The sequence below is a fragment of the Homo sapiens genome, chromosome 5 (genome assembly GCF_000001405.40).
Source record: "Homo sapiens chromosome 5, GRCh38.p14 Primary Assembly".
Taxonomy (NCBI): Eukaryota; Metazoa; Chordata; class Mammalia; order Primates; family Hominidae; genus Homo; species Homo sapiens.
Genome location: NC_000005.10, coordinates 134322583 through 134339599, shown reverse-complemented (window position 1 = coordinate 134339599; position 17017 = coordinate 134322583). Strand labels below are relative to the sequence as shown.

Sequence of the window (17017 nt, the reverse complement as noted above, 5' to 3'; positions counted from 1 at the left end):
TGTTCTGTAAAGTGTTCTAAAGATAGTTATTAGGTCTAATTTGTTTATCATGTTGTTCATATTTTCTCTTCTTGATTTTCTAATTGGTTTAGACATGCTTATCATTATTACAGTTTTCTAATAGATTCCCCCTTTATCATTATGAAATTTCCCTCTTCATCTCTAGTAACATTTTTTTGTTAAAAGTCTATTTTGTCTTGTATTAGGGCAGTCTTTTTAGTTTTCTTGTGATTGTTGATTGCATGATATATCTTTTTCACAACCTTTACTTATAATGTTTGTATATCGAATATAAAGTATATCTTGCCTAAACAACATATAGTTAGATCATGAGGTTTTTTTCCCCCTCCAGGCTGACAGTCTCTGCCTTTTGCTGGATTGGTTAATCTGTTAACGTTTAATGCCATTATTATTTTTATTTATTTATTTATTTTTTGTGAGACAGAGTCTCACTCTGTCACCCAGGCTGGAGTGCAGTGGCACGATCTTGGCTCACTACCTCACTACAACTTCTGCCTCCGGGTTCAAGCAGTTCTCCCTTCCTCACCCTCCTGAATAGCTGGGATTACAGGCATCCACCACTATGCCCGGCTAATTTTTGTATTTTTAGTAGAGATGGTGTTTCACCACGTTGGCCAGGCTGGTCTCAAATTCCTGACCTCAAGTGATCCACCCACCTAGGCCTACCAAAGCTCTGGGAATACAGGTGTGAGCCACCGTGCCCGACCCCATTTAATGTTATTATTGACGTAGTTGTAATTACATCTGCCATTTTAGTTTTTTGTGTTTGTCTCATGTTGTTTTCTTGCTCCTCCTTTGCTGCATTATTTTGCATTAAATGATTATTTCCTAATTATTTTAATTTCTTTAATAATTTTTTTTACTATCTGTGTGTGTGTGTTTTGAGATAGAGTCTCACTCTGTCACCCAGGCTGGAGTGCAGCAGGGCAATCTTGGCTCACTGAAACCTCTGCCTCCTCTTTTCAAGTGATTCTCCTGCCTCAGCCTCCTGAGTAGCTGAGATTTCAGGTGTGTGCCACCAAGCCTGGCTAATTTTTGTATTTTTTTTTTTAGCAGAGATGGAGTTTCACCATATTGGCCAGGCTGGTCTCGAACTCCTGGCCTCAAGTGATTCTCCTGCCTCAGCCTCCCAAAGTTTTGGGATTTCAGGTGTGAGCCACCACACCTGGCCTTTACTATATTTTTGAGGGTTGTTCCTTTTTTTTCTTTTTAGTGGTTGCTCTAAGGTTTACACCTTATCAGAATCAACTGATAAGTTCCTATTTATACTAGTTTAATTCCAGTGATACAGGTATAGAAAAGTTATTCTTATGTCATTCTATTCCCTTTTCCATCTTTGTGTGGTATATTTGTTGTACATATTACATCTAATAATGTTACAAACCATTATTACTTTTTCTTTATAGTCATTTCTCTAAACTCAATATAGTTTTACTCCCTCTCACTTCCTTTTTGATGTCATTAGCAAATATATTACACATATTACATTTGTAATGTTATAGGCCCAATAATGTATTGCATGCATATTATTTTTTCCCTAGGTAGAGGCAGCTCTAATGGCTTGCATATTATTTTGTATGAGGGGTCTTCAAAAAGTTCATGGAAATGCATATTATGAAAAAACTATGCATGGCTTTAACTTTTTTTTGCACCAAAATAAACTCACACTAACTTGTTATAACATGTCTGAATAGGATCTAGTTTGAGGCATTAAGAAGGATAATACATCAGTTGGAAAAGAGCCTCTATCAAAACAATATGAATTCTGCTAAAATTGAAGCAAGAACAAGCATCAAATTCATGATGAAGCTTGAGTGGAAGAATGGTGAAAGCATTGATGCTTTATGAAAAGTTCTTTATTTTCCCAATTTTTTTAAAATTTTAAAATGTTAATGTAGAAACAAGGTCTTGCAGTGTTGGCAAAGCTAGCCTCAAATTCCTGGGCTCAAGCAATCCTACTGCATCAGCCTCCCAAAGTGCTGGGATTACAGGCTTGGCTTTATGAAAAGTTTATGGAGACAGTGCCTCCAAAGAAACCAGCAGCTTACAAATGGATAACTTGTTTTAAGAAAGGAGGAAATGGTGAGAAAACACCAAGATGGCCCAATAGGAATATCTCCGGTCTACAGCTCCCAGCAAGACTAATGCAGAAGATGGGTAATTTCTGCATTTCCAACTAAGGTACCTGGTTCATCTCACTGGGACTGGTTGGACAGTGGGTACGGCCCACAGAGGGCGAGCCGAAGCAGGGAGGGGCGTCGCCTCACCCAGGAAGTGCAAGGGGTCAGGGATTGATTTCCCTTTCCTAGTGAAGGGAAGCCATGAGTGACTGTACCTGGAGGAACATTACACTCCTACCCAAATTCTGTGCTTTCCCCATGGTCTTTGCAACTGTCAGACCAGGAGATTCTCTCCCGTGCCTGGCTCAGCAGGTCCCATGCCCATGGAGCCTTGCTTGCTGCTAGTGCAGCAGTCTGAGATCTACCTGGGACACTGGAGCTTGGTGGGGGGAGGGGCATCCGCCATTTCTGAGGCTTGAGTAGGCGGTTCTATGCTCACAGTGTAAACAAAGCAGCAGGGAAACTCGAACTGGGCAGAGCTCATCGCAGCTCAGCAAGGACTACTGCCTCTCTAGATTCCACCTCCAGAGGCAGGGCATATCTGAACAAAAGGCAGCAGACAGCTTCTGCAGACTTAAACGTCCCTGCCTGACAGCTCTGAAGAGAGCAGTGGTTCTGCCAGCATGACATCTGAGCTCCGATAACAGACAGACTGCCTCCTCAAGTGGGTCCCTGACCCCCATGTAGCCTGACTGGGCGACACCTCCCAGTAGGGGCCAACGGACACTTCATACAGGCAGGTGCCCCTCTGGGACGAAACTTCCAGAGGAAGGATCAGGCAGCAATATTTGCTGTTCTGCAGCCTCCGCTGGTGATACCCAGGCAAATAGGATTTGGAGTGGACCTCCAGCAAACTCCAACAGACCTGCAGCTGAGGGGCCTGTCTGTTGGAAGGAAAACTAACAAACAGAAAGGAATAGCATCGACATCAACAAAAGGACATCCACACCAAAACCCCATCCACAGGTCACCAACATCAAAGACCAAAGGTAGATAAAACCATAAAGATGGGGAGAAACCAGAGCAGAAAGGCTGAAAATTCCAAAAACCAGAATGCCTCTTCTCCTCCAAAGGAACACAACTCCTCACCAGCAAGGGAACAAAACTGGATGGAGAATGAGTTTGACAAGTTGACAGAAGTAGGCTTCAGAAGGGCGGTAATAACAAACTTCTCTGAGCTAAAGGAGCATGTTGTAACCCATTGCCAGGAAGCTAAAAACCTTGAAAAAAGGTTAGACGAATGGCTAACTAGAATAACCAGTATAGAGAAGAGCTTAAATGACCTGATGGAGCTGAAAACCACAGTACGAAAAACTTCATGAAGCATACACAAGCTTCAATAGCTGATTTGATCAAGTGGAAGAAAGGATATCAGTGATTGAAGATCAAATTAATGAAATAAAGCGAGAAGACAAGATTAGAGAAAAAAGAGTGAAAAGAAACGAACAAAGCCTCCAAGAAATATGGGACTATGTGAAAAGACCAAATCTACGTTTGATTGGTGTACCTGAAAGTGACAGGGAGAATGGAACCAAGTTAGAAAACACTCTTCAGGATATTACCCAGGAAAACTTCCCTAACCTAGCAAGGCAGGCCAACGTTCAAATTTGGAAATACAGAGAACACCACAAAGATACTCCTTGAGAAGAGCAACCCCAAGACACATAATTGTCAGATTCACCAAGGTTGAAATGAAGGAAAAAATGTTAAGGGCAGCCAGAGAGAAAGGTTGGGTTACCTACAAAGGGAAGCTCATCAGACTAACAGTGGATCTCTTGGCAGAAACCCTGCAAGCCAGAAGAGAGTGGGGGCCAATATTCAACGTTCTTATAGAAAAGAATTTTCAACTCAGAATTTCATATCCAGCCAAACTAAGCTTTTAAGTGAAGGAGAAATAAAATCCTTTCCAGACAAGCAGATGCTGAGAGATTTTGTCACCACCAGGCCTGACTTACAAGAGCTCCTGAAGGAAGCACTAAACATGGAAAGGAACAAATGGTACCAGCCACTGCAAAAACATGCCAAATTGTAAAGACCATCGACGCTATGAAGAAACTGCATCAATTAACAGTCAAAATAACCAGCTAGCATCATAATGACAGAATCAAATTCACACATAATAATATTAACCTTAAATGTAAATGAGCTAAATGCCCCAATTAAAAGACACAGACTGGCAAATTGGTTAAAGAGTCAAGACCCATCAGTGTGCTGTATTCAGGGGACCCATCTCACATGCAAAGACAAATATAGGCTCAAAATAAAGGGATGGAGGAAGATCTACCAAGCAAATGGAAAGCGGAAAAAAAAAAAAAAAGCAGAGGTTGAAATCCTGGTCTCTGATAAAACAGACTTTAAACTAACAAAGATGAAAAGAGACAAAGAAGGCCGTTACATAATGGCAAAGGGATCAATTCAACAAGAAGAGCTAACTATCCTAAATATATATGCACCCAACACAGAACCACCCAGATTCTTAAAGCAAGTTCTTAGAGACCTACAAAGAGACTTAGACTCCCACACAATAATAACGGGAGAATTTAACACCCCACGGTCAATATCAGACAGATCAACAAGACAGAAAATTAACAAGGATATCCAGGACTTGAACTCAGCTCTGGACCAAGCGGACCTAATAGACATCTACAGAACTCTCCACCCCAAATCAACAGAATATACATTCTTCTCAGCACCACATCACACTTATTCTAAAATTGACCACATAATTGGAAGTAAAACACTCCTCAGCAAATGTAAAAGAACAGAAATCACAACAAACTATCTCTGTGACCACAGTGCAATCAAATTAGAACTCAGGATTAAGAAATGCACTCAAAACCGCACAACTATATGGAAACTGAACAATCTGTTCCTGAATGACTACTGGGTAAATTACGAAATGAAGGCAGACATAAAGATGTTCTTTGAAACCAACAAGAACAAAGACACAACATACCAGAATCTCTGGGACACAGCAAAAGCAGTGTATATAGGGAAATTTATAGCACTAAGTGCCCATAAGAGAAAACAGGAAAGATCTAAAATTGACACCCTAACATCACAATTAAAAGAACTAGAGAAATAAGAGCAAACAAATTCAAATTCAAAAGCTAGCAGAAGGCAAGAAATAACTAAGATCAGAGCAGAACTGAAGGAGACAGAGACACAAAAAGCCCTTCAAAAAAAATCAATGATTCCAGGAGCTGGTTTTTTGAAAAGATCAACAAAATAGATAGACTGCTAGCAAGACTAATAAAGAAGAGAGAAGAATCAAATAGATGCAATAAAAAATGATAGAGAAGATATTACCACTGATCCCACAGAAATACAAACTACCATCAGAGAATACTACAAACCCCTCCACACAAATAATTAGAAAATGTAGAAGAAATGGATAAATTCCTGGACATATACACTCTCCCAAGACTAAACCAGGAAGATGTTGAATCTCTGAATAGACCAATAACAGGTTCTGAAATTGAGCCAATAATTAATAGCCTACCAACCAAAAAAAGTCCAGGACCAGATGGATTCATAGCCAAATTCTACCAGAGGTACAAACAGGAGCTGGTACCATTCCTTCTGAAACTATTCCCATCAGTAGAAAAAGAGGGACTCCTCCCTAACTCATTTTATGAGGCCAGCATCATCATGATACAAAAGCCTGGCAGAAACACAACAAAACAGAATTTTAGGCCAATATCAATGATGAACATTGATGCAAAAATCCTCAATAAAATACTGGCAAACCAAATCCAGCAGCACATCAAAAAGCTTATCCACCACGATCAAGTCAGCTTCATCCCTGGGATGCAAGCCTGGTTCAACATACACAAATCAGTAAACGTAATCCATCACATAAACAGAACCAATGACAAAAACCACATGATTATCTCAATAGATGCAGAAAAGGCCTTCGACAAAATTCAACAGCATTTCTTGCTAAAAACTCTGAATAAACTAGGTATTGATGGAATGTATCTCAAAATAAGAGCTATTTATGACAAACCCACAGCCAATATTATACTGCATGGGCAAAAACTGGAAGCATTCCCTTTGAAAACTGGCACAAGACAAGGATGTCCTCTCTCACCACTCCTATTCAGCACAGTATTGGAAGTTCTGGCCAGGGCAATCAGGCAAGAGAAAGAAATAAAGGGTATTCAATTAGGAAAAGAGGGAGTCAAATTGTCTCTGTTTGCAGATGACATGATTGTATATTTAGAAAACCCCATCGTCTCAGCCCAGAATCTCCTTAAGCTGATAAGCAACTTCAGCAAAGTCTCAGGATACAAAATCAATGTGCAAAAATCACAAGCATTTCTGCAAAAATCACAAGCATTTCTATACACCAAGAACAGACAAACGGAGAGCCAAATCATGAGTGAACTCCCATTCACAATTACTACAAACAGAATAAAATACCTAGGAATCCAACTTACAAGGGATATGAAGGACCTCTTCAAGGAGAACTACAAACCACTGCTCAAGGAAATAAGAGAGGACACAAACAAATGGAAGAACATTCCATGCCCATGGACAGGAAGAATCAATATCGTGAAAATGGCCATACTGGCCAAGGTAGTTTATAGATTCAATGCTATCCCCAAAAAGCTACCACTGGCTTTCTTCACAGAATTGGAAAAAACTACTTTAAAGTTCACATGGAACCAAAAAAGAGCCCGCATAGCCAAGACAATCCTAAGCAAAAAGAACAAAGCTGGAGGCATCACACTACCTGACTTCAAACTATACTACAAGGCTACAGTAATCAAAATAGCATGGTACTGGTACCAAAACAGATATATAGACCAATGGAACAGAACAGAGGCCTCAGAAATGACAGCACACATCTACAACCATCTGATCTTTGACAAACCTGACAAAAACAAGGAATGGGGAAAGAATTCCCTATTTAATAAACGGTGCTGGGAAAACTGGTTAGCCACATGTAGAAAGCTGAAACTGGATCCCTTCCTTTCACCTTACACAAAAATTAACTCAAGATGGATTAAAGACTTAAATGTAAGACCTAAAACCATAAAAACCCTAAAAGAAAACCTAGGCAATACCATTCAGGACATAGGCATGGGCAAAGACTTCATGACTAAAACACCAAAAGCAATGGCAACAAAAGCCAAAATAGACAAATGAGATCTAATTAAACTAAAGAGCTTCTGCACAGCAAAAGAAACTATCATCAGAGTGAACAGACAACCTACAGAATGGGAGAAAATTTTTGCAATCTATCTATCTGACAAAGGGCTAATATCCAGAATCTACAAAGAACTTAAACAAATTTACAAGAAAAAAACAACTGCATCAAAAAGTGGGCAAAGGATATGAACAGACACTTCTCAAAAGAATACATTTATGCAGCCAACAGACACATTAAAAAATGCTTATCATCACTGGTCATCAGAGAAATGCAAATCAAAACCACAATGAGATACCATCTCACACCAGTTAGAATGGCAATCATTAGAAAGTCAGGAAACAACAGATGCTGGAGAGGATGTGGAGAAATAGGGACACTTTTACACTGGGAGTGTAAATTATTTCAACCTTTGTGGAAGACAGTGTGGCGATTCCTCAAGGATCGAGAACTAGAAATACCATTTGACCCAGCAATCCCATTACTGGGTATATACCCAAAGGATTATAAGTCATGTTACTATAAAGACACATGCACACGTATGTTTATTGTGGCACTATTCACAATAGCAAAGACTTGGAACCAACCCAAATGTCCATCAATAATAGACTGAATAAAGAAAAATGTGGCACATATACACCATGGAATACTATCTTGCCATAAAAAAGGACGAGTTCATGTCCTTTGCAGGGACATGAATGAAGCTGGAAACCATCATTCTCAGCAAAATATCACAAGGACAGAAAACCAAACACCACATGTTCTCATAAGTGGGAGTTGAACAATGAGAACACATGGACACAGGGAGGGGAACATCACACACTGGGGCCTGTTGGTGGGTGGGGGCCCGGGGGAGGGATAGTGTTAGGAGAAATACCTAATGTAAATGACGAGTTGATGGGTACAGCAAACCAACATGGCACACATATACCTATGTAACAAACCTGCACATTTTACACATGTACCCTAGAACTTTATAGTAATTTAAAAAATAAATTAAATTAAAAAAAGAAAGGAGGAAAGGATGTTAAAAATGAAGCCTGCAGCAGCAGACCATTCACATCAACTTGTGAGGAAAACATTTATCTTGTTCATGCCCTAATTGAAGGGGACGATTGCCCTAATTGAAGGATGATTAATAGTAGAAACAGTAGCCAACAGTATAGACATCTCAGTTGGTTCAGCTTACACAATTCTGACTGCAAAATTAAAATTGAGCAAACTTTCCACTTGATGGATGCCAAAACCGTTGCAACCAGATCAGCTGCAGACGAGAGCAGAACTTTCAATGGAAATTTTAAACAGGTGGCATCAAGATCCTGAAGCATTTCTTTGAAAAACTGTGACAGATGATGAAACCTGGCTTTACTAACATTATCCTGAAGACGAAGCACTGGCTACCAAGAGGTGGAAGTGGGCTGGTCAAAGCAAGAGTCCAGTCAAGACCAAAGGTCATGGCAATGGTTTTTTTGGGATGCTCAAGGCATTTTGCTTGTTGACTTTCTGGATGACCAGAGAATGATAATATCTGCTTCTTGTGAGAATGTTTCGAGAAAGTTAGCCAAAGCTTTTTTTGTTTTTTTTTCTTTCAGACAGGGTCTGGCTCTGTCACCCAGACTGGAGTGCAGTTGTGGGAACTTGGCTCACTGCAACCTCTGTTTCCTGGGCTCAAGCAATCCTCCCACCTCAGCCTCCCAAGTAGCTGGGACTACAGGTATGTGCCACCATGCCCAGCTACATTTTGTATTTTTTGTAGAGATGGGGTTTCACCATGTTGTCCAGGCTGGTCTCAAACTCCTGAGCTCAAGCACTCTGCCTGCCTTGGTCTACCAAAGTGTTGAGATTACAGGCATGAGCCACTACACCTGGCCAAAAGTGAGCCAAAGATTTAGCAAAATAAACGTCTGGGAAAGCTTCACCAGAGTGTCCATCTCCACCATGACCATGCTCCAGCTCATTCCTCTCATCAAACGAGGGCAATTTTATAAACATTTTGGTGGGAAATTATTAGGCATCTACCTTAAAGTCCTGATTTAGTTCCTCCTCATTCTTTTTTTTCCTAATCTTAAAAAATCTATAAAGGGCACCCATTTTTCTTCAGTTAACAATGTAAAAAGGACTACATTGACATGGTTAAATTCCCAAGACACTCAGTTCTTTAGGGACATACTAAATGGCTTGTATCACTGCTTACAAAAGTATCTTGAACCTTATGGATCTTACACTGAGAATAAAGTTTATATTTTTATTTTTTCTTAGAGTATCATTATTATTATTATTAATTTTTTTTTTTTGAGACAGGGTCTCACTCTGTTGCCCAGACTGGAGTGCAGTGGCGCGATCTCACCTCACTGCAATCTCCACCTTCCAGACTCAAGCAATTCTCCTGCCTCAGCCTCCCAAATAGCTGGGATTACAGGTGTGTGCCACCATGCCCGGCTAATGAGAATAAAGCTTATATTTTAATTTTTATCTTTTAATTCCATTATCATGAACTTTTTGAAGTCCCCTTGTATAATTGCTTTTTAAAATTAATTAACAGCGTGGTGGCTCACGCCTGTAATCCCAGCACTTTGGGAGGCCGAGGTGGGTGGATCACGAGGTCAGGAGATGGAGACCACCCTGGCTAACATGGTGAAACCCCCTCTCTACTAAAAATACAAAAAATTAGCCGGGCGTAGTGGCGGGTGCCTGTAATCCCAGCTACTCTGGAGGCTGAGGCAGGAGAATGGCGTCAACCCAGGAAGCGGAGCTTGCAGTGAGCTGCACTCCACTGCATTCCAGCCTGGGCGACAGAGCGAGACTCTGTCTCAAAAAATAAATAAATAAATAAAATAAAAAATTAAATTAAATTAAATTAATTAACAGAAGAAGAGAGAAAATTCTGCATTTATATTGCCTTTTATAATTACATAATTACCTTTACCAGTGCTCTTTGTTTTTTCATGTGGATTTTTTATTTTTTTGAGACAGGATCTCACTCTGTTACCCAGGCTGGAGTGCAGTGGAGTGATCGTGACTCACTGCAGCCTCAACCTTCTGGGCTCAATCAATCCTCCTGCTTCAGCCTCCCAAATAGTTGGGACTACAGGCATGTGCCACCACACCCACCTAATTTATTTTTTTGTAGAGACAAAGTCTCACTATATTGCCTAGGCTGGTCTCGAACTCCTGTCCTCAAGCAATCTTCCCACCTCAGCCCTCAAATGTGCTGGGATTACAGGTATGAGGAACTGTACCTGGCCTTCCTGTGGATTTGAATTACTGTCTGGGGTCACTTGCTTTCAGTCTTAAGAACTTCATTCAGTATTTCTTGTGAGGTGGATTGGTTAGCAACAAATTCTCTCAGTTTTTGTTTATTTTGGAAAGTCTTAACTTTCACCTTCATTTTTGAAAGATATCTTTGCTAGATATAGGCGTTTTTGTTGAGAGGTCTTTTTTGAGCACTTTTAATTGTTGTACCACTATCTACTGGTCTCCATTGTTTCTATTAAGAAGTCTGTTGTTAATCTTACCAAAGTTCTCTTGTAAGTGATGATTTGTTTTTCTCATGCTGCTTTCAAGATTTTCGTTTTGTATGATGTGTTAGTTTGTGGATTTCTTTGTGCTTATTGTTCTTGGAGTTTGTTGAGCTTCCTGTATTTGTGGATTATTGTTTTGCAATAAATGTGGGCAGTTTTTCTCCATTATTTTATAAAATATTTTTCTATTCTCCCCACTCATTTTTATATTCCTAGTATACATATTTTGGTGTTTCACATTTCTCTTGAGGCTCTGTTATTTTTTTCATTCCTTTTACCTTCTATCCTTCAGCTTACATAATTTCTATTGGTCTTGTCTTCAAGTTCATGAATTATTTTTTCTGCCTGTTTAAATCTACTGTTGATTTCCTCTCGTGAATTTTTAAATTTCAGTTATTGTACTTTTCAACTCCAGAGTTTCCACTTGGTTCTTCTTTATACATATATACATGTAATTTATATCTCTTGATTGATATTCTCTACTAATATTTGATGTGACACTGTCATACCTTTCTTCTTTAATCATGCTTTCCTTTAGTTCTGTGAACATATTCATAATTGTTATTTTGAAATATTTTTCTGCTAAATCCAACATGTAGTTACTCTTATAGGCAGTTTGGGTTGCCTGCAGTTTTTCTGGTGTATGGGTCATCTCTCACAGATTTCTTTGCATGCTGTGTAATTTTTGTTGGAACTTGAACATTTTAGATAACATCCTGTGGGAACTCTGGGTATGGGACCCCTCCTTCTGGGACTTGTTACTGTTATTTGCTTGTTTGTATCATGGCGACTGGCTAAATTATTTTCATGGAGCCAATACCCCCAGCCCCCCAACCCACACACACAGTATTAAACCTCTTTAGTTGCTCCTCAGGGAGGCACAGCTTTGGGTAGGCTCACAGTCACTCTGAGATGACAGTGGTATTGATAGGTTTATCTTCCTTTCTTTCCCTGGCTACTCCTAGCTGTTAAACTCCACTCGTTGATAGCTTTGTGCTCTATTATTTTCAACATTGCCTTGGGGCTTAAATAGCTCTACAAACTGTTCCAATCAAATTGTGGCTCCTTTGAAGGAGTAGTTTCTGTGCTCAATATTTAATATTTGTCCTGGCCCCAGGAAAGCATCTCCTAACTGTGTTATTCCCTGGTTCTTTCCCACAAGCTAGCTGGCCTGTACTCTAGACTGCAGGTTCATTAAATTGATAAATCTCCACCCAGTTGTCTTTCACCACATTCTGTACTGTGGTTGAGAATACCTTTAGGCTGGAACTTCTCTACACTCTGTTGCAAATGATGTCAATTCCTTTGAAAGGGATTAGGAGCCATCTAATTTATGGCTTGCTTCTTCCCCCAGGCAAAATCTCTGAGCCCAGTTTCTGGATCTGGGTTGAATTCATGGCAATTTTCTCTCTAAGTTATACTGTTGCTCTTAAGAGGTGACTACTTAGTGAGATATGGAGAGCAGCAACCTGAGGTCCCCTCAGCTTGCTTCTCCTGGCATGAAACCTCTGCCTTATGGGTGAGGCAAGTGCAATTTGGGCCCCAGTATTCTCTGCACTGCATTCAAGGTAGAACCATTGTTCCATGAACAGGGGCTGGTTGGAAGAGTGTCTCCCTCCTCTTGACACTAATCACCCAGAACTTAGCCTCAGCAACAGGCAGCTGGGAGAATAATGAGAAATGGTGAAGTTCCACTCCTCCTGGGAAGAAAGCTCTTCAACTGGGAGCTGGAGGAAGAGGGAGCCCTAGAGTGGAGTCTTTGCCTCACCAGGCAGAGAGTGGGGAAGGAAAAAGTTGTCTTGGTTTAGGTGCCACAGACTCATCTTTCTTATACTGAATTGCATAGTTTTTAGAGGATAAATAAATCTTCATTTTATGCTTAGCCTCAGGACTATAAGGACTATGTGTGTGTGTGTATATATATATATATATATATATATATATATATATATATATATATATATACACACACATATATATATATACACACACGCTTTAAGTATTTGTGTTTAAAAAAATAATTCTGAGGCAGGAGAATCGCTTGAACCTGGGAGGCGGAGGTTGCAGTGAGCTGAGACTGCGCCATTGCACTCCAGCCTGGGCAACAAGAGTGAAACTCCATCTTAAAAAAAAAAATTTACTAGTTTCAGTGATAAACTAATAAGAGAGTAAGTCAGCTGATCTCTTCACTCTGTCATGCTAGAAGTTCATACCTCTGTTTGTTTTTTTTAATCCTTCCTTACCCCTACATGTTAGACCTAAGCTTTTTTGGATCTACTTTTCCTGATCAAGGCTCGAGTCTAATACCTTTACTTTCCTTAGTAGGTTAATTTTGTTTTCGTTTTTCCTATTGGACAGCTCTTTTTCTGCAAAATGTTGTGGTTGAAGTGAAGAGGAGAGGTTTTCTCTATAGCTAACTAGGACTTGCTCGTATTTCAGAAAATAGGGGATCCCTTTAAGATTACTGCTGCAGTGATAATTAACTAGACGTGGTCTGTCTTCTATTGCTCTTTGAAAGGCCTGCCTAGATAATGCTTTAAATTTCTGCAGATAATGGATTACCTTACTAAATTGTACTGTGAAATTTCAGGTCAAGCTGGGGAAAAGTGAACTGCTTTGTGTAGGAATATTTTTAGTGTCTCTTTTGGTAGTGGAGGAGGTGCATAGAAATTGCATTCTGTGGAGAGAGTACTTAAAAATAATTACCTTTGGCATGGTGCAGTGGCTCACGCCTGTAATCCCAGCACTTTGGGAGGCCGAGGCGTGCGGATCATGTCAGGGTATCGAGACCATCCTGGCTAACACGGTGAAACCCCGTCTCTGCTAAAAATACAAAAAAAAAAAAAAAAAAAAAAGCCAGGCGTGGTGATGGGCGCCTGTAGTCCCAGCTACTCGGGAGGCTGAGGCAGGAGAATGGCATGAACCTGGGAGGCCAAGCCTCCAGTCAGCCGAGATCGCGCCACTGCACTCCAGCCTGGGCGACAGAGCGAGACTCCATCTCAAAAAAAATAATAATAAATAATAATAATAACAATTAACTTAAAGCTTGAGAGTTTTTTTTAAATGCAAAAGGTCATCTTTATTAGACATCAGAAAGATGCAAACTTATATCACAAAGTGGTACCACTATATAACCACCAGAATGGTTAAATTGAAAAAAAGACAGTAAATACCAGTGTAAGTGGAGCAGTTAGAACTCACATAACACTGGTGGGGAAATGTAAACTTGTACAATCTCTCTGGAAAACTGTTATTAAATAACAATTAAAGCTGAACATACACATATGTGTATTCACCAAAAGATCCAAAACTTGGTCTTAATTTTATTTATTCTCACTAAAACTTACTAATATTCATTAAATTCTTAAAACTTGTGAAATAAGCAAGCTTATAAGTTACTATTATATCATCTATGGTTATAATGTAGATCTGAAAAACTGTATATACTATAATTAATTCCTTTATTTCTTAGGTCATTATCTAGCAGTATACACACATGCATACACATACTTCTCCATCTCCTTCCTTTTGAACAGAAATAGGAACATACTATATACATAGTATAGAATCTTGGTTTCCCTCCCCACTCTTCTTTATTTACTTATGAGACAGTGTCGCATTCTGTCTCACAGGCTGAAGTACAGTGGCATACTCATGGCTCACTGCAGCTTTGATTTCCCAGGCTCAAGTGATCCTCCTGCCTCAGCCTCCAAAGTAGCTGGGACTACAGGCATGAGCCACCAAGCCCTGCCACTTTTTATTTGTTTATATTCAGGGACTTTAATTTTTAGACCAGTTTTAGGCTCCAGAAGAATTGAACAGAAAGTGTAGTTTCCTTATGTCCCCTCCACCCTACTCCACACATTTCTCTATTACTAACATCTTGTATTAGTGTGGTACATTTGTTACAATTGATGTACCAATATTGAACATTATTAACTAAATTCCATAGTTTAGAGTTTACTCTGTGTTGTATTTCCTGGGTTTTGATAAATGTATAATGTCATGTATCCATCATTATAGTATCATACAGAATAATTTTATGGTCCTAAAAATCTTCTGTGCTTCGTTTTTATTCTTCCGTCCCTCTCCCAGAACTGCTGGCAATCATTGGTCTTTTTACTGTTACTATACTTTAGGCTTTTCCAGAATATCATATAGTTGGAATCACATAGTATGTAGCTTTTTCAGACTGGCTTCTTTGACCTAGCAATATATATTTAAGGTTCCTCCTTTTTTTTTGGTATCTTGACAGCTCACTTCTCTTTTATTGCTAAATAATATTCCATTGTATGTATGTACCACAGTTTGTTTATCCACTCACCTATTGAAGGACATCTTTATTGCTTCCATGTGTTGGCAATTATGAAGCAAGCTGTTATAAGCATTCGTGTCCAGGTTTTTATGTGGACAGAAGTGTTCTACTCACTTGGGTAAATCCCAAGGAGAGCAATTGCTGGGTTGTATGGTAAGACTATGTTTAGCTTTGTTAGAAGCTGTCAAATTGTCCTCCAAAGTGACTGTGTAATTTTGTGTTTCTACCAGCAATGAATGAGAGTACCTGTTGTTTGCCATCCTCACCTGCATTTGATGTTGTCAGTATTTTGGATTTTAGGCATTCTAATAGGTGTGTAGTGGTATCTCGTTGTTTTAATTTGCAATTGTCTGATGACATATGATACTGGGCATCTGTTAATATGCCCATTTGCCATCTGTATATTTTCTTTGGTGAAATGTATATTCTTATATTTTGCCCATTTTTTAATTGGGTTATTTTCTTATTGAATTTTAAGAGTTTTATGTATTTTGGATACAAGTTCTTTATTATTTTGCAAATATTTTCTCGCAGTTTGTGGCTTGTCTTTTTATTTGCTTAACAGTATCTCTCATGGAGCAGAAAAGTTTAGTTTTAGTGAAGTTCTAACTATCAATTTTTTCTTTTGTGAATTATACTTTTGGTGTTGTATCTAAAAACTCATTACCAAACCTAAGGCCATCTAGATTTTTTCCTATGTGATTGTCTAGAGGTTTTACAGTTTTGCATTTTATATTTAGGTCTATCATCTATCTTGAGTTAATTTTTGTGAAAGGGATAAGGTCTGTGTCTAGATTCAGTTTTTTGTATGTTCCAGCACTATTTGTTGAAAAGACTGTCTTTTTTTTATCTTATTATTCAATTGCCTCTGTTCCTTTGTCAAAAATCAGTTGAGCACATTTGTGCAAGTCTATTTCTGGGTTCTTTATTCTGTTCCCTTGATCTATTTATCTATTCTTTCACCAATACCATACTATCTTGCTTGTTGTATAAAACATCTTGAAGTCAAGTAGTGTCAGTCTTTGTTCTTTTTCAAATTGTGTTGGCTATTCTGGGTCTATTGCCTCTCCATATAAACTTTGCAATCAATTGTCAATATCTACAAAACAATTTCCTAGGATTTTTAAAAATTTACAGATTAAATTGTATGTATTTATTGTGTACAGCATGATGTTTTGAGGTATATATATACGTTGTGAAATGACTAAATTTGGCTAATTTACATATGTGTGTTACCTCACATAATTATCAATTTTTAATTTACTGGGATTTTGTCTGGGATTGTATTGACTCTACATAAAGCTTGGAAGAACTGACATCTTGACAATATTGAGTCTTCCTATTGATGAACATGGAGTATCTCTCCATTTATTTAGATCTTTTATTTCTTTCATGAATGTTGCTTTTTTCACTTGACAGTTTATCTTGGAGATCATTCCATTTCAGCACATATAGATAGACCTACCTCATCAATTTTTTTTTTTTTTTGAGACTGAGTTTTGCTCTTGTTGCCCAGGCTAGAGTGCAATGGCATGATCTCGGCTCACCACAACCTCCACCTCCCGGGTTCAAGTGATTTTCCTGCCTCAGCCTCCTGAGTAACTGGGATTACAGGCATGTGCCACCACACCCGGCTAATTTTGTATTTTTAGTAGAGACGAGGTTTTTCCATGTTGGTCAGGCTTGTCTCGAACTCCTGACCTTGTGATCTGCCTGCCTTGGCCTCCCAAAGTGCTGGGATTACAGGCATGAGCCACAGTGTCCAGCCAGACCTCATCATTTTTAACAGATGAATAATATTTTATTGTGGGGTTGTACAAAAATTTTCTTAGCCATTCCCTTATAGGTGGAGGTCTAGGTTGTTTCCAATCTTTTTCTTCTACGA

The 17017-nt window shown here is 39.1% G+C and overlaps 1 protein-coding gene across 29 annotated transcripts in view; it reads left to right on the top strand.

The window, feature by feature from the left end:
- CDKL3 (cyclin dependent kinase like 3) overlaps positions 1–17017 on the top strand; it is an 88280-nt gene that overhangs the window by 32025 nt on the left and 39238 nt on the right. Inside the window, exon 1 of one of the 29 annotated variants that reach the window (XM_024446102.1) lies at positions 8894–9010. The exons of the other annotated variants lie outside the window; for them this stretch is intronic. The gene's annotated coding sequence lies outside the window, so the exon portion shown is untranslated. Of the gene's footprint in view, positions 1–8893; positions 9011–17017 lie in introns of those variants that run through there. 29 annotated transcript variants of the gene reach the window in all.